Raw genomic sequence first — 17,930 nt, 5'->3', positions numbered from 1 at the left:
TGCAGGAGGCAGGAGACAGCGAGGGCTTCCCTAGAGGGAGGAGAGCGTGGGCGTTTGGACCAGATCAGCCCAGCTGTTTCCCAGACAGAACCTTCTGCTCTTTCCTAACATAGGGTTTTCTCTCCTGACTGTCTCTGTGCCCATGAGCTGTGGGCCTTGCTTGCTTCCTGGGCTCTGATTAGGATCGGTGCCTTGTCACAGCCTTTCCATGCTAGTCCTTCGATGCTTCCAGCCACCATCACCGATGCATTTTTATGCATTTTATAAAATTCCAAAGAATTGGAAGCATCATCATTTATGAGTTTCCAAGGAAATAGAAACTTGGCTCCTGCCTGATAATATTGGTTGATCTAGAAGTTGGTTTTTGGCCTCAGTAAGCCTGGATACCAGCTGTCTCCAGAACTCTCCGGCAGAGTCGAGGGCCCTCCTTTAAGCCCCAGAGCACCTGTTGTGACCTTCATCTTTGTTACTGACCATGTCATATCACAAGCATTTGTGTAAGTTCTGCCTCCCCCAGGAACTGGGAGCTCTTCGGGGCAGGGGCCTGCCTTACCCATCTTTGAATCCTCAGCCCCTAGCAGGGAGGCAGAGGGTAACGGGCGTGGTATCTATGCCTGTGTCACTAGCTCCTGAGTACTGGACTGTGCTCTGTGATTTCCCTTCACTCCATCCATACCTTTATTTTTAAAATCCCTTTTTCTAACTCAATCCAATTTGTACATGCCATCTGTTTCCTGCAGGGACCCTTGACAGATACAGCAATAGTTGTACCTTTGAGATTCATAAATGCATGGAATATTAAAGTCGGGAAGGAAACTTATACAACTTCTAGTCCAATTCCTTTGGACTAGAAAAAGGATGAGAGAAAACTGGTATTCAGAGAGGCTGAGTGATCGGCCAAGGTCACACAGCAAATCAGTAGCAAACTTTATTTGCTCTTGGGGGATAAGTGAATCCCAAGAGAATTAGCACTGTTCTCTCTGGGGAGAAGAGGCTTGGGTCATTGAGCTGATTACAAGAGGCAGTGGGGAGAGTTCTGAGGATGGGAGAGGCATGTTCTTATTGTCCAGGGCTTTCTTGCCACTCCAGAAAGTTTCCTTCCAAAGCTTTCATAGAGCATGTTTATTCTCCCCTTGCAGGGATCGGACCCATCCACCTCAACGAGATCCAGTGCACAGGCAATGAGAAGTCCATTATAGACTGCAAGTTCAATGCCGAGTCTCAGGGCTGCAACCACGAGGAGGATGCTGGTGTGAGATGCAACACCCCTGCCATGGGCTTGCAGAAGAAGGTGATGGGACTGGACACCTAGAGGGGACTGTAACTGAGGCTGCAGAAAGTATAGCCACAGAGCTCTGGGGTGAACCCTGGAAGTGACCAGGTGCTGCTGCTAGTACTGCTGCAGACATTGCCACTTGGCATTTGCAATGTTTAGTTCCCCCTCGAACCTCGGGCCTGGCCCTGGCCCGGCAGCAGGCCCAAGCCCCTGTGTGCAGTGTGAGCTGGAAAGGCCCTGCCTCCTTGCATGTTAACATCTGAGGTGAGTTACCTCACCTCTGCCCCACCACCTCCAAAGACAGGCGTGGGACCGGCTAGCCACAACCTTATCAAAACACGGTGCAGCCTGGCTGTGCTCTGCTGGCTGGAGGCGTTCTCTTTCCTCTATTCATGTTCAGAAAAAAACTGGGCTGCCACACACTTCGCTCCCTTCTTTAAAACCCTGTGCTGCTGCCACTGAGAACCAAAGGAACAGGAAAAGGGAAATGCCTGGGCTGTTTTAAGAGACTTGGAAAGGGCTTGACCTTCCCTGGCATCCTCCTTGGGTGAGGAGGTGGAGAGGGTGAGGACAGAGGCTCCTGGCTGACCATGAGGTCCCATACGCTCCATTGTCACTGGTGAGGTCAGACCCCGCTCACCAGAAAGCCACACGGTTACCAGGATGCTGACGCTCTACGTGGGGCTCTGGGAATGGCAAGCTGTGTCCTTTGCTGAGTTAGAACTGCATGCCAGCTACACTGTGCGCTCCAGTCTTCTCTAGAAAATGAGAAAAGCCCCCCAGTGCATGAAGTGTCCAGATTCCTTCCAGAACAGTCAAACCCTTCTCTCTGTCCTAGAGGCCATCCCGGGCCTGGTAAGCCTTAACGCCTTGGAGCCTTGGCAGGTGCCCTTGGTGACCATGTGTTTTCCTGGCCCCAGAGGCAACGAGGCAGCCACATTCCGCAGCCAGAGCCTCTGAGACTTGCCTTGGCTTTAGGACCTAGAGCAGGAACACTGCTCTGGCTCAGGCAAGAGATGAGGGAGGGTAGGGAAGGACTGGAGGGAAGTGGATGCATTGGAGAGAGACGAGAGATAAAACCCACAGGTGAAGACCGACAGGATGTGAGATAAGAGAGTGGGAGATGTCAAGAATTGCTCCTCTGTTTCTGGCTTGAATAACAGCAGATTCAGGAGCCAAGAAACTATGATATGTGGCCAAGCCCACCCTTCCTCCTGGTTTTTTATTCGTTTGTTTTTTGAGACGGTCTTGCTCTGTTGCCCAAGCTGGAGTGCAGTGGTATGATCATAGCCCACTGCAACCTGAAACTTCTGGGCTCAAGGGATCCTCCCACCTCCCGAGTAGCGGGGACTACAGGTATGCACCACCATACCTGGCTCATTTTTTAAACTTATTTTTTTGTAGAGATGGGGTCTCACTATGTTGCGCAGGCTGGTCTCAAAACCCTGGGCTTAAGTGATCCTCCCACCTTGGCCCCGCAAAGTGCTGGGATTACAGGCATGAGCTACCATACCCAGCCTCTTTTTTAAGATAAAGTTGTATCGGAACATGGCCACACCCGGTCATTTAGGGTAAAGAGAAAAGACAGCAAGTTCAGATTTGTGATCTCTGAGATACCAAGTGGGGTTGTCAAACAGGCAGCTGGTTAGGTGGGCCTCAGACCAGCAGGAGAGCCATGGGACAAGATGCCAGTGGCTCTGGAACCCGCCAGGTAGGGGATGTGGCAAAGAGAAAAGTGCCCAGGCAGGAGTCTTGTGGGATTCCAACATGTCAAGGTCCCGAGGGCACCATCCTCCCAAAGAGCAGCCCCCCACTGATAGGCTCATGGGGAGCAGGGTCAGCTTCTGCTGTGGGGCTCAGTGGAGTCACAGGGCCTCCCCAGCTGCTTAGGGTGCCTGGGGTGGGGACCTCACTATAAGACCATGCTAGGCACAGCGCTGCCACCGGGGGCTCCCAAGGGTGCTGCTGAATCTGAGTGTGTCCCGGGCAGCACCACCTGGCTTAGGACTCCAGGACACTGGGGCTGATGGCAGCGTAGGGGGGAAGCTCCCTTGTCCCTCTTGGTGACCGTGGCCTGCCTTTGTGTCTGCAGCTGCGCCTGAACGGCGGCCGCAATCCCTACGAGGGCCGAGTGGAGGTGCTGGTGGAGAGAAACGGGTCCCTTGTGTGGGGGATGGTGTGTGGCCAAAACTGGGGCATCGTGGAGGCCATGGTGGTCTGCCGCCAGCTGGGCCTGGGATTCGCCAGCAACGCCTTCCAGGTGAGAAGCCCCGGCCTCAGACCCCGCATTCACCCCCCATGCAGTCTGACCACACTGTCTTCAGTCAGCCCCCCTCTCCCACGTACCCTCCCTAGCCGTGCAGGCAGGACAGAGCAAGTTGCCCTGGACCCAGAGGCAGGGAGCCTCGCTCTGGCCACAGCGCTGCTCCTTACAGGCCTGAGTCCTCGGGCAGGTCGCTCCCATCTCTGCCTCTATTTCTCGGCTGCAGAACGAGGGGCTGGGCTCTGCTTTTCATGGTCCACTCCTGCTCTGCACACTGGGGTTCACCCTGGGCTCAAGACTGATCCTGGGGGTTCCTGATGTGCCTTGTGCAGAAGGAACCAACTCAGTCCTTCGGGGAGGTGGTGACCCCCAGCCCAAGGCTCAACCCCCGCTAAACGCCTTAGCTTGCTCCCTTGAAACCCGCTCTGGTCTGAACACGTTTCCCCGCTGGCATCTGTGCCTAATGCATTCTCCCATTGACACGCTAGGGAATCTCCAAGCCTTGTCACATCAGCTGCACTTCCTCCCACTGCCCCCTCTCCAAAGAGAGTGACTCAGCTGAGAACAGCTGAGCTCTGGTCCTAGTTCCCACCCTCCCGCCCCCATCACAGAGCAGCAACAAAATAGGAGGCTCTGGGTCTAATCCCGACGCATTCCCACCAGCTGGCTGTGTAATGGTCTGAGGCAAAGCAGCCACCCTTCCCTGCCTCAGTTGTCCTCCCTGTGACATGGAATGAATAATCCCAAGACCTCAGTATCCTGGTTGTAAACACTTCCATTAAGCAGCTTACATAACGGGAAGATGCTTGGAGACCCTGCTCTTGTGTTGTTAACCCTGACTCCAGCTCTCCTTCCCCAGTGGTCCTTCTTGGGGCCTAAGAAAGGGGTTTAGGGAGAGAAGAGGAGAATTCCTGCATCCTTACTGAGCCTGACTGTCTCCCATGGGCTGGGTGGGTCCCAGGTTGCTCCAATGGGAGGTCCTGAGCCCTGAGCAGAAGCTGCCTGGGATCCCCTGCCCTGTGGCTCCTCATTCCGGCATCCAGAAGAGACAGGCCTTTAAAATAGCTGCTTACGCCCTCTGGGAGCTTGGCCTCCCCAGGCAACGCAGTGTTTCTGCTAATATTGTTTATGACAAGCCAGGGCACTCTCTAAATCTCCAAGGAGAGTGGAAAAACGGTGCCACATTTCAAGGGAGTCTTCAACCAGATATTTTTCTTCCCAGTCAGCTCATTCCTAAGACACCTGGGCCTCAGCTGGGGTCTTGAAATAGGCCTGGGACTGACATTTGTACCAAATCTGCCACTGATTACAAGCCCCATCCCTTCTCAAGTCCTCATTTTTTTCATCTGGAGGATGGAGGTGGGTATTGGTCAAGTTCTCTAGAGAAACAAAACCAGTAGGTTGTATGAATGTGTATTTTTGTGTGTGTGTGTGTGTGTGTGTGTGTGTGTGTGTGCTATCAACCAATAGGATGTATGAATGTGTGTTTATATATGTGTATGTATATCTCTCACACACACAGCATGAAGAAAGATATTTCTTTTAAGGAATTGGCTCATCCAATTATGGGGCTGGCAGGTCTGAAGTCTGCAGAGTAGACCAGCCGGCTGGAAGCATTGATGTTGCAGCTAGAGTCTGAAGTCAGTCTGTGGTCAGAATGGCTTCTTCCTTGGGAGGCCTCAGGTTTTTTGGGTTTTTTTTTTTTTTACCCCTTAAGATCCTCAACCGATTGGATAAGAATTGCCCATATTATGGAGGGTAATCTGCCTTACTCAAAGTCTACTGATTAAAATGTTAATCTCATCTAAAAACAGCCTCACGTAAGCATCTAGAATAGTGTTTGACCAAATATCTGGGTACTGTGGCTTAGCCAAGTTGACACGTAAAATGAACCATCACAGGAGAGTTTAGATGAGATACTAATACTTCCAAGGCCCTTCCTATCCTGATGGTCTGTCTCTGACGATCCCGAGAAGACCTCCCTGAGCTCTAATCCTGCCTCAGCCTCCAAGCCCGAGAGACCTGAGGAACACAGCACCTGTGTTCTCATCCCGTTTCTGTACCTGACGATCCCAATTCTGCTCCTCATTTTTCTCTGCTGGAAACTTCTCTGAAGTGTGAGAGTAAATCCTAACAGTATTTCGAAGGCCCATAGAGCAAAGGGGCCAAATAAATCCCAGCATCCTAAGCCTCGGATCTCCTCAGCTTCTGTGCAGAACTACTCTATTAATTGCTCTTTAAACTGGGGAAAAGTCTAAATTCAGAAGTTCGTCTTTATAACATGTCTAATGATTGACCTATGCAAATAGATTTCTTCTTCTCTCCCACCACTTCCAATCAACCAGTAACATCTTCCTGGAGCACTGTGTTGAGAAGGATTCTGAGATCCTATTCGGGCTTAGAGGAGAGAGTGCTGTGATTGATTAGCAATGTCTGCCCTGGATCAGGACTGGGGAGTGGGCAACCTGAGTTGTGTGCACCTGCCATTCCTGACACACAGCCTTGCAGTGTCTGACCACAACCTTAGCTCTACTTCCCTGAGGGAGAGAGTGACAGAGTCCAAGTGCTACACTCAGGAGACCTGGATTCCCACTCACTCTGCCACCAACTAACTGCACAGCTTGGATAGGTGACCCTCCGTGCTGTTTCGATCTGAAAAATGGGATCATGAAACATTGGGATTTTTGTGAGGCTGCAAGTTGATAGGATATGAGAAAGTGACAGTTTGAGATGATGTACCCACCATTTGTTTTGTTGGTTCTTCCAGGAGACCTGGTATTGGCACGGAGATGTCAACAGCAACAAAGTGGTCATGAGTGGAGTGAAGTGCTCGGGAACGGAGCTGTCCCTGGCGCACTGCCGCCACGACGGGGAGGACGTGGCCTGCCCCCAGGGCGGAGTGCAGTACGGGGCCGGAGTTGCCTGCTCAGAAAGTGAGAGCTCCTCCCCTCCCTCCCCACCGGGCTCCCAAGGGGACCAGAGTCCCACCAGTTATTCCTCAAGAGACTCTGAAGCCTTGCCATGAGCCAAGCAATAGAGGAAGGTAGAATGAAATCCTAAGGGAGAAAAACTGGGGGCAAGAGAGATGACCGCCACCCCAACCACAGATCGCTGTCTATGATGTAGTGGGGAGAAAAGCGGGAGGGAGGGGCTGCAGTCTGTAGCCCGGATTCAGTCACAGGACCACTGCTACTGCAGTGACCCAGGGCAGACTACATGACTGAGAGTGCCTCCGTCATGCCAGTTAAATGAGGTCGATGACATCTTCCATGGGTGTTGGCTTCCTCCCTCCACCTCCTCTGTAGAGCATTTCCTGTTTTCAGACCCTGGAGGTCACTTAGCTGCCCGGTAGTTCGCTGGGAGTCCTAGAGAGATTGAGCCCACAGAAGGGAATGCCAGCCAGGATTCAGGATGACCCACTTCCTGAAGCCTCCCTCCCATGCTGAGAGAAGAGGAGCAGTAGACAACCTTTTGGAATGCTGCCCTCCTGAGCCCAAACCCAGCCCTCCCTTTCCTGGCCTTGTAATATAAACCCACACGCAGCCATCTCCATTGGGAGGCCCAGGTGCTGGCCAGAGAACTTGAGACCAGACCCTGCCTTATTGGCTGATCTTGGAAAAGCGTGTCAGCCTCTGTGGTCTTTAGTTGTAGTTTTCCTTAGAAATTAGAAATCAAGTGTGACAATTAATATGTGCAAGGGCTTCATAAACAAAGATGCACTGTCATCCTGCCATCACGGAGAACGCGGGATTGAACAGCAGCTGCGTCTCCCACCAACCCCTTTTAGACTCACTAGCATCTCCTAGCCCTTGCAAAGCAGGACCTCAGGGCAGGCTTCGCTGGGCAGACATCACAAGCTATCACATCCTTGTGAGAGGAGAGATGGCGAGATCACCATCTTACCAGCTCCCCGGGGGAAAGCATCCCAGCAAAGAGGAACAGCCACTTCCCTGTCGGGGGCCTTTTCTTTATTTATCAATTTATTTATATTTGCAATATCCCATCTTTTCCAGAAGGAAATGAAGATAATACAAACCTAAATACAATTCAAGATAGCATAAAATAAAAACAGATGAAAGATAGACAGGTGCTGGCAAAATGGTAGTGGCTTAAAATGGAGCCAGGGAGGGGTTAATTTTACAAATGTGTACTAGGGGGTTCTATGCATTTATTATGAGTAGGTCATTCATTTCACAGTGAGCTTCCTAGCAGCCAGAGCAAAGAGAATACTGGTCATTAATATAACTAACAGTACCTGTGAGATAGAAATATGGCTGTGAGTCAAGAGAAGCCCACCACTCTAGAGATTAAAGGGAATTTCTCTCTGAGGACTGAGATTTATGAGATGAGCCATGCCGTCAGATCCTCATGGGAGATCCAAAAATGAGTTTCATGGGGCGATTTCTCAGAATGCTCCACAGCTTAGGCTGAAGCATCACTGGGAGTGTGTCTGCAGCGGGGCAGTAGGCTTTGGGGCCAGGAACACAGCTCTTGGCTGCTCTGGCTAAATGCACGTTAGAGTATTCAGGGAAATAAAGTAATTCTTCAGGCAACCCTTCATAATATCTTATTCTCACCCCACCAACTGCATATGCTAGAAATCTACACAACCTCCTTGATTCTCCCTCTTCCCCACCACCCCCATGTCCAGTCCCTCTTGATTTTTACCTTTCAGTATTTTCTCAACCTTCTGTATGTCTTTCCCTGCCACTGTTGCTGCCTGTGTCCAGATGACCACACAGCATCACTGCAAAGGAGATCCCTACAGTGATACGTGGCCCTGCGGTGGCTTCCCCTCCTCTCCCCTCCCCAAAGCCAGAGCCAAGGCCACGTCCCACTTAAATCCCACCCAAGGGTCCCACTGCACTTCCGTGACCAGGGGCTCGCACGGGGCTTGTGTTGTCCAGCCTCCTCGCTGGCCACCCCCTCCCATCCTCAGTGACTGCACCACACTGGCTTTGACCCTCCGTGGTGCCGCAGGGGCCTGGCACAGGCTACTTGTTTTTTGTTGTTGTTTTTCTCCTTTTTTATTTTTATTTTTATTTTTTTCTTTTTTCGTTTTATTTATGTATTTATGTATTTATTATTATTATACTTTAAGTTTTAAGGTACATGTGCACAATGTGCAGGTTATTTACATATGTATACATGTGCCATGCTGGTGCGCTGCACCCACTAACTCGTCATCTAGCATTAGGTATATCTCCCAGTGCTATCCCTCCCCTCTCCCCGCACCCCACAACAGTCCCCAGAGTGTGATGTTCCCCTTCCTGTGTCCGTGTGTTCTCATTGTTCAGTTCCCACCTATGAGTGAGAATATGCGGTGTTTGGTTTTTTGTTCTTGCGATAGTTTACTGAGAATGATGATTTCCAATTTCATCCATGTCCCTACAAAGGACATGAACTTATCATTTTTTATGGCTGCATAGTATTCCATGGTGTATATGTGCCACATTTTCTTAATCCAGTCTATCATTGTTGGACATTTGGGTTGGTTCCAAGTCTTTGCTATCGTGAATAGTACCGCAATAAACATACGTGTGCATGTGTCTTTATAGCAGCATGATTTATAGTCCTTTGGGTATATACCCAGTAATGGGATGGCTGGGTCAAATGGTATTTCTAGTTCTAGATCCCTGAGGAATCGCCACACTGACTTCCACAATGGTTGAACTAGTTTACAGTCCCACCAACAGTGTAAAAGTGTTCCTATCTCTCTACATCCTCTCCAGCACCTGTTGTTCCCTGACTTTTGAATGATTGCCATTCTAACTGGTGTGAGATGGTATCTCATTGTGGTTTTGATTTGCATTTCTCTGATGGCCAGTGATGGTGAGCATTTTTTCATGTGTTTTTTGGCTGCATAAATGTCTTCTTTTGAGAAGTGTCTGTTCATATCCTTCGCCCACTTTTTGATGGGGTTGTTTTTTTCTTGTAAATTTGTTTGAGTTCATTGTAGATTCTGGATATTAGCCCTTTGTCAGATGAGTAGGTTGCCAAAATTTTCTCCCATTTTGTAGGTTGCCTGTTCACTCTGATGGTAGTTTCTTTTGCTGTGCAGAGCTCTTTAGTTTAATTAGATCCCATTTGTCAATTTAGGCTTTTGTTGCCATTGCTTTTGGTGTTTTAGACATGAAGTCCTTGCCCATGCCTATGTCCTGAATGGTAATGCCTAGGTTTTCTTCTAGGGTTTTTATGGTTTTAGGTCTAATGTTTAAGTCTTTAATCCATCTTGAATTGATTTTTGTAGAAGGTGTGAGGAAGGGATCCAGTTTCAGCTTTCTACATATGGCTAGCCAGTTTTCTCAGCACCATTTATTAAATAGGGAATCCTTTCCCCATTGCTTGTTTTTCTCAGGTTTGTCAAAGATCAGATAGTTGTAGATATGCAGCGTTATTTCTGAGGGCTCTGTTCTGTTCCATTGATCTATATCTCTGTTTTGGTACCAGTACCATGCTGTTTTGGTTACTGTAGCCTTGTAGTGTAGTTTGAAGTCAGGTAGTGTGATGCCTCCAGCTTTGTTCTTTTGGCTTACGATTGACTTGGTGATGCGGGCTCTTTTTTGGCTCCACATGAACTTTAAAGTAGTTTTTTCCAATTCTGTGAAGAAAGTCATTGGTAGCTTGATGGGGATGGCATTGAATCTGTAAATTACCTTGGGCAGTATGGCCATTTTCACGATACTGATTCTTCCTATCCATGAGCATGGAATGTTCTTCCATTTGTGTCCTCTTTTATTTTGTTGAGCAGTGGTTTGTAGTTCTCCTTGAAGAGGTCCTTCACATCCCTTGTAAGTTGGATTCCTAGGTATTTTATTCTCTTTGAAGCAATTGTGAATGGGAGTTCACTCATGATTTGGCTCTCTGTTCGTCTCTTGTTGGTGTATAAGAATGCTTGTGATTTTTGTACATTGATTTTGTATCCTGAGACTTTGCTGAAGTTGCTTATCAGCTTAAGGAGATTTTGGGCTGAGACAATGGGGTTTTCTAGATATACAATCATGTAGTCTGCAAACAGGGACAATTTGACTTCCTCTTTTCCTAATTGAATACCCTTTATTTCCTTCTCCTGCCTAATTGCCCTGGCCAGAACTTCCAACACTATGTTGAATAGGAGTGGTGAGAGAGGGCATCCCTGTCATGTGCCAGTTTTCAAAGGGAATGCTTCCAGTTTTTGCCCATTCAGTATGATATTGGCTGTGGGTTTGTCATAGATAGCTCTTATTATTTTGAAATACGTCCCATCAATACCTAATTTATTGAGAGTTTTTAGCATGAAGGGTTGTTGAATTTTGTCAAAGGCCTTTTCTGCATCTATTGAGATAATCATGTGGTTTTCATCTTTGGTTCTGTTTATATGCTGGATTACGTTTATTGATTTGCGTATATTGAACCAGCCTTGCATCCCAGGGATGAAGCCCACTTGATCATGGTGGATAAGCTTTTTGATGTGCTGCTGGATTCGGTTTGCCAGTATTTTATTGAGGATTTTTGCATCAATGTTCCTCAAGGATATTGGTCTAAAATTCTCTTTTTTGGTTGTGTCTCTGCCCAGCTTTGGTATCAGGATGATGCTGGCCTCATAAAATGAGTTAGGGAGGATTCCCTCTTTTTCTATTGATTGGAATAGTTTCAGAAGGAATGGTACCAGTTCCTCCTTATACCTCTGGTAGAATTCGGCTGTGAATCCATCTGGTCCTGGACTCTTTTTGGTTGGTAAGCTATTGATTATTGCCACAATTTCAGATCCTGTTATTGGTCTATTCAGAGATTCAGCTTCTTCTTGGTTTAGTCTTGGGACGGTGTATGTGTCGAGGAATTTATCCATTTCTTCTAGATTTCTAGTTTATTTGTGTAGAGGTGTTTGTAGTATTCTCTGATGGTAGTTTGTATTTCGGCACAGGCTATTTGTTTTGCCCTAGCCTCATCCTTAGTGTTACTTCCTCGAATCCCCACTCCTCCTTCAGAGAAAAACTAAAACACAACTTCTCCCAAAGCAGCCTCCTGACCACCTACCCGACAGGTTCCTCCCGTTACAATTCCCATCATATCTCCTGCCAGCTCTTGTTGCAGTAGTAATTATTATGTGCTGAATATGTCTGTCTCTTGTTAGTCTAGGGTAGTTCCACCTCTGCCTTGCTCAGCTCTGTCCAGAGAACCTAGCACAGAGCATCGTAATACTCGAGCCATGGGTAGGTGGGAGGATGCCACCTAGGAGTTCTGCTGCCTGCTGGATGCAGGGGAGGCCAAGTCCCCAACCCATGGCAGCTGTTGAGATTGCACATCTCAGGCTACCAGCTAAGCACAAACCATGGTACATTAACGATCCCTCGCCTTGCGAGCTGGCGGGAGAGCCCAAGTGGAGACCTCCATGCTCAGCTCAGAGGTATTCAGAGGGGCTGTCAACTAATAAGAGGCTCACATGACACCCTCATAAAAATAAGCGTGCCCAGAACACTCGGTGTAGGGCAATGCTGCATCCTGGCGTAGCCTCCAAGAAGAAATACTTGTCAGTAAACGGGAGCCTCCTGATTTACGGCTTCCGTGCCCCACCCCATGTGCCATCTGTGTGCACCTTTTCCCTACCCTTTGGTTCCACACCCAATTCTTGCGAGTGGATCTGCTCTCTAGAGGATGCCAGCTCCATCAGGTGCCAGTGAACTCACAGGGTTTACTGAGAACCCGCTGGACTCTGCTGCAGCCTGTAAGCCTGGAGGGGGAGGGGGAGAAGGGAGACAGAGCTCACTCCACGTGCTGGTGAACTTGAGGGAAGCAAAACTCACAGACTCTGCTTGCTTAAAATTTATAAGCAATTCTGCAAAGCAGTCTAGGGGGAAAAAAATTTACAAGCAACTTGTCAAAATAAAAGATGGCAGGATCTTGTGATCACTGATTCATATATGGCATTTTTCTGTGTACTAGAAGTGTTCACTGAAAGCTCACTTTTAAAGGTAAAGCCTACAGTTAATCCTTTTGCAAAGAAGCTAAGCTTTCTAATACAATTGTTTAGTAAACGTAGATTGTAGCCATCAGTCATTCTTTTAACACCTGCTATGTGCAGTGCACTAATTGAGTAAATCAAGCATTGTAAAAGACAGGCACCTGGGGAAAACTCTCCTGTGGGGCAGCAGTGTGTCCTGTGGAACCTGGAAGACCCTGTTAAGAAGGCAATTTGGCAGTAGGAATCAGAGACTTAAAAACAGACAATGCTTTCTCCTAGCACTTTCACTTACAGAGATATATTCTAAAGAAAAAAATAAGTTATATGCACAGATTTACTACAGGGTATTTATCACAGCTTGTAAGTGAAAAATTCCAAACAGCCAATATATCTAAAAATATGAGCTAGAGCTAGGAATTAAATCTTATGTAGCCATGAAATGAATGTGCTGTAATGGATATATGTCAATGTGAAAATATGTGAAGATGTATTTTAAGGGGAACTGTATTAGTGCACCATAAATCCACAGACAATATTATACATGTTGGAAAATACATCATTCCCAGAAGCAGCAGACCAAGGTATTAGAGGTGTTCTTTCTCTCTGGGTAGCACAATCACATCGTTATTGTTGTTTTTGCATTTTATTATGGAAAACTTGAAGCCACTTGAAGTAGAATAATATAATCAACCCCCACGTGCTCATCACTCACATTCAGTGCTTATGAGGCACAGGATCTGTTAACGTACCATGATCTGTGCTTCGCTCGTAGCCTAGGACCAGGTGTGTGAGATTTTAACATCTCGCTCATCTGCACCGATAACTGAAGAGTTGTCAAAGAGGACTCACAGCAGAGGAAAAGAGGAATTCAGGGTCTTGCTAAACAAGAAGGTAACCTTGAGGAGCCCTTGAGTCATTCCAGAAGGTGGCGGTAGGCAGGAGAGGGGGTTTGTCCCAGCTCAAGAATCAGAAGTAGAAGCCCTGGGGAGGGGTCTCTTGCCTTGTTGACCAGCATGCCATCCTCCGCAGCCGCCCCTGACCTGGTCCTCAATGCGGAGATGGTGCAGCAGACCACCTACCTGGAGGACCGGCCCATGTTCATGCTGCAGTGTGCCATGGAGGAGAACTGCCTCTCGGCCTCAGCCGCGCAGACCGACCCCACCACGGGCTACCGCCGGCTCCTGCGCTTCTCCTCCCAGATCCACAACAATGGCCAGTCCGACTTCCGGCCCAAGAACGGCCGCCACGCGTGGATCTGGCACGACTGTCACAGGTAGGCCTGGCTGGCCACCCTCCCCACTAAGCTGCCCGGCGGACATCCTGCAGGCCTCAGATGGGAGTTGAGAGTTGCCAGGGTCACTTAGAGCCAAGAGGCTGCATGGCCTGGGGATAGGATCCTCCTAAGTGGGGGGCTTGCATCTGCCACACTGGCTGTCAGATTTCCCGAAGCCATTCTCCACTCCAAGTTCCCCTGGCCTGCCACCCTTCTTCCTGCCTCCAATGCTTCTAACATCAGGAAACACACTTTGTTTTGAGCGCCCATACCCTCCTCGTTGACCTTCAGCCCATGGTTTCCAAGTGTGTCCACAGGTTTGTGTGCTGCCAGGTACTCCAGGCTGTGCAGTTGCTGGACTCTAAATTCCTTTAGAAATATTCCCAGCCTGGCGCGGTGGCTCACGCCTGTAATCCCAGCACTTTGGGAGGCCGAGGCGGGCGGATCACGAGGTCAGGAGATCAAGCCCATTCTGGCTAACACGGTGAAACCCCGTCTCTACTAAAAATACGAAAATTAGCCGGGCATGGTGGTGGATGCCTATAGCCTCAGCTACTTGGGAGGCTGAGGCAGGAGAATGGCGTGAACCCAGGAGGCGGAGGTTGCTGTGAGCTGAGATCACGCCACCACACTCCAGCATAGGCGACAGAGCCAGGCTCTGTCTCAAAAAAAAAAAATATATATATATATATATATTCCACGTACTGGTATGTATTTTAAATACCTCTAGGAAGACAATGGGTGTGGAGACTGAAGTCTAGGCCCAAGAGTCCTGAGACCTGGTCTCTAAACGCAGCCGTGCCTCTAGCGAGCTGCATGATGTCAGGTCAGCTGGGCGGCATCACCTGGGACCTCGCCTGTCCCTTCCAGCTCTGTCAGTCTGTGGACCTGATCCCAGCGCTGCAAATCCCAGACAAGGACAGAAGAACAGGGTGAAATCCTACAGCCAGACCTGGCTAGAGCCACCACAAGCCATCTGCTCATCCTCTTACCTTCCCTCTGTTTCTTTGTTTTCCCTTTTTTGCCTGGACTCTTAATCTAATCCAGAGCCTGCTGTCTCTGTATGTCCAGGGATTTTTTTGCTCAGACCTGAACTGGGTGGGTAGAGGGAAGAGAAGCAGGCACACCCTTGGAAAGGAAGGGAGACAGGCCTCTACCACTAAATAAAGCAGGAAGCCCCCGAGGGGCTACAGGCGTGGCCTAGTCATTGCCCTTCTCCACACTTGGATGGGCCATCTATACAACCTGGCCTTTGCACCACATCCCTGCTTCTCAAAGTGAGGTCCTTGGACCAGAGGTATCTGCCACCACCTGAGAGCCTGGGACCTGCTCAATCCCAGGGCCCGTGGCAGACCGACACATCAGCATCTGCATTTGGCAGGATTCTCAGGTGACCGTGTGCACACTGCAGTGTGAGAAGCCGTTGTCTAGATGATGTTGAGGCTCCGCTGCAGCTCCGGAATGTGGTCATCACTGTTATGGGCAGAACTAACATGTCCTGGCCCCTTCTAAGTGTCAGGCCTAGGGAACCTTCGTTCTCCTAGAAAAGGACACAGAGGCTTGGAGTTGTCTCTTGCCCAAGATAATGCTAGGAGTTGCAGAGAGCAGGAATCCCGGCTCGGGCCTGTCTGACTCCAAACTACATGCTCTTTCTTTTTTGTCTGCTGACTCTTCATCAGAAATCTATCTTTGGCTTTTTTTTTTTTTTTTTTTTCATATCGCAGCTGATGACCTAGTCACATTCAAATCAGTTTTGGGATAGTTGTTCCACTAGTCTCACAAGAAAGGACTATGGTAGAATTCAGGGGTGCTGATTTTCCATTCAAACAATTGAATATTCTGAACGTCCTAATTAGCCCAAGAAGGTGTGGTCTTTATAGAGAAGCAGGCTAGTCTTCTTCAGGTTGTAAGTCAGTAGAGTTAAAGTCATGACGGTTTTGGTGCTTGGCTCCCTTCGGGGAACGTGTGGGTGGAAGCCCTGGGCGGCGGGGGCTGACGCTGCCTATGGGTCTATAAGCAGAAGATAATTGCATCCCAGCCCTGCATATGGCAGCCCACCCACAGATTACATGGTAGGAACCTCCCTGTGCCATACACTTACGCTCCAAGGACTTGGTCTCCTCTAAGAATAGGCACATGGTGACATCCTGGAAATGTTCTTCTGATCTGGAGACCCTGGCTCCCTGCCTGCTCCCCAACCCCCTGCTCCCCCACTTTTCCTGTGGTCTATTTTATTTCTTTGTTTACAGATGTTCTAGTCAGTGGCTTGGGAGGGGATGGGAGGGAAGGAAGGACATGCTGAGCACATGTACCTTCTGGTCTCCCCCTCCTGGTCCACAGCTGAGAAACAATGACCATAAGATCCTAGGGACCTTAAGAGGAGTACCTCGAGCTCCAGGTGACTTCTCCAGGTGCTGTGGGAGGAACAGGATCCTGGCCTCAAACATCTGTTGGGTTCCTTTTGGAAGCTGATGAGAGCTGGCCCTTCCTCTCCTCAAAACAAATATTTCTAGAAGTTTAATAGCCTATGTCAGCAGATTTGCAGACACTCTGAAGGCCATCTGGAGCCAGGCTTGAGAACCCTGGCTCAAATTAGTGGGAATGGGAAAAAATGCCATTTCCAGTTTAATTGACGCTACCTCGGGGAAGAGAGCTCTGTTCTTTGAAAGCCCTTGGCTGAAACACAAAGATTGGCCCCCTTGGAAATTTCCTCGAAAACCAGACCTGGAGGAAAGTGCCCCCGGAGTTATTCTGTCTCATGTGCACTGTGCCCTGGCCGATGGTCTCCATGCCTCTCTCTCCTGCCTCTTGTGGGGCCACCGCTGCTCAACTGGCACGATGTGCCACGCTCTGACAGGACAAAGCATGGGGCACAGATGCACAACAGGCTCCACAGGCCAAGGGGCTTGGCTCTCCCACCTCGGGGGAATCCCAGGAGAGGAGCTAGGAGTTGGAGAAGCAGGGCGTGTGGGCTCCAGCTCAGATGACAGTCCTCCGGGTCAGGGATGGCATTGCTGCAAAGAGGAGAGACTCCCTTTCACTCCACCCTGCCTACCACATGTGCGGCTCAGCTTCCTGGGAGGATCAAAGCCCACAGATGTGACGTGGCCCCTGGGAGCCAATCTGAGGCCCTCATCGCATCTGTGGGGCTTGCTCCTGCCAAGGGGCTGCCTGGCACAGGGGGATGGGGGCGTGGAGCTAGCAGAAGGGCCTCTGCCTTTCTGGCAGCTCCTTCTGGGATGGAAACATCCCCACTGTTTTCTGAAACGAGGACAGGAGTGTTGCCCCCACCGTGGCAGAGCACCTCCAGGACTGTCCATTCTGGATGCCCCGCGGACACGTGGCTGGGGTGGGAAAAGATGTAGAGTGCAAGCATCTCCTCTGCAAAGGGCACCAAGGCTCTGACTGGGAGTTTCATTGGGGCCACCAATGACCTAGGACAGCAAAGAACATACCTGCTTCTCCCATCTTTCTCTGAACCAGCTTTATCTGCCATCCGTTTTGCATCCAACACCTCCTCCCTTGACGAGTGCCATGTCTTAAAACACTGAGCTCTGGGATGGACGCAGTGGCTCACACCTGTAATCACAGCACTTTGGGAGACGGAGGCGAGTGGATCACTTGAGGTCAGGAGTTCAAGACCAGCCTTGCCAACATGGTGAAACCCCATCTTTACTAAAAATACAAAAATTTGCCAGGCATGGTGGCGTGCTCTGTAGTCCCAGCTACTCGGGAGGCTGAGGCAGGAGAATTGCTTGAACCCGGGAGACAGAGGTTGCAGTGAGCCGAGATCATACCACTGCACTCCAGCCTGGGTGATGGAGTAAGACTCCATCTCAAAAAAAAAACAAAAACAAAAAAGCATTGAGCTCTGGAGTCTCACGGTAGAAGGCTGTGTCTTCTTTTGTCCAGATCACAGTGACCTCCGCCAAGTGTCAGGCTCTCTCTCCCCTTAGCGTTCTGGATTTTCCTTCCAAGTCCATGCTTCCCTAACTCTACCCCAGGGATCCAGCCCCCTCCTAGATGCCCAAGGGTCACGACAGCTCAGCCTGCAAGAGGAGGAATACCTTCCTCGCCAGGACTCACCATCCCATCTTCCCAGAGTCCTGCTCTCTATTTCCTGGGGGGAATGGGTGGGTAGTGCTGGTGGGCGGGGGGTGTGGGGGGGCTCTAGGCT

General features: G+C 49.5%; 1 protein-coding gene across 1 annotated transcript in view, besides 1 other annotated feature; it reads left to right on the top strand.

Moving 5' to 3' along the window:
* Nucleotides 1-17,930, top strand: part of LOXL2 (lysyl oxidase like 2) — a 107,224-nt gene that overhangs the window by 80,700 nt on the left and 8,594 nt on the right. Inside the window, exons 7-10 of the mRNA NM_002318.3 lie at nt 1,140-1,291; nt 3,369-3,536; nt 6,307-6,472; nt 13,510-13,753. Coding sequence (NP_002309.1) covers nt 1,140-1,291; nt 3,369-3,536; nt 6,307-6,472; nt 13,510-13,753 — 730 coding nt within the window. The remainder of the gene's footprint in view (nt 1-1,139; nt 1,292-3,368; nt 3,537-6,306; nt 6,473-13,509; nt 13,754-17,930) is intronic.
* Nucleotides 2,959-3,524: an enhancer, noted in NCBI's record as "H3K27ac-H3K4me1 hESC enhancer chr8:23177410-23177975 (GRCh37/hg19 assembly coordinates)". NCBI's record gives its function as "activates a minimal SCP1, AML or CMV promoter by ChIP-STARR-seq in naive H9 embryonic stem cells {active_cell/tissue: H9 hESC(naive)}" and the evidence as "EXISTENCE:reporter gene assay evidence [ECO:0000049][PMID:30033119]".

This window comes from Homo sapiens, chromosome 8 (assembly GCF_000001405.40).
Source record: "Homo sapiens chromosome 8, GRCh38.p14 Primary Assembly".
Lineage (NCBI taxonomy): Eukaryota > Metazoa > Chordata > Mammalia > Primates > Hominidae > Homo > Homo sapiens.
Note: the sequence above shows the minus strand (reverse complement) of the source record. Positions and strands in the feature narration are given on the sequence as shown.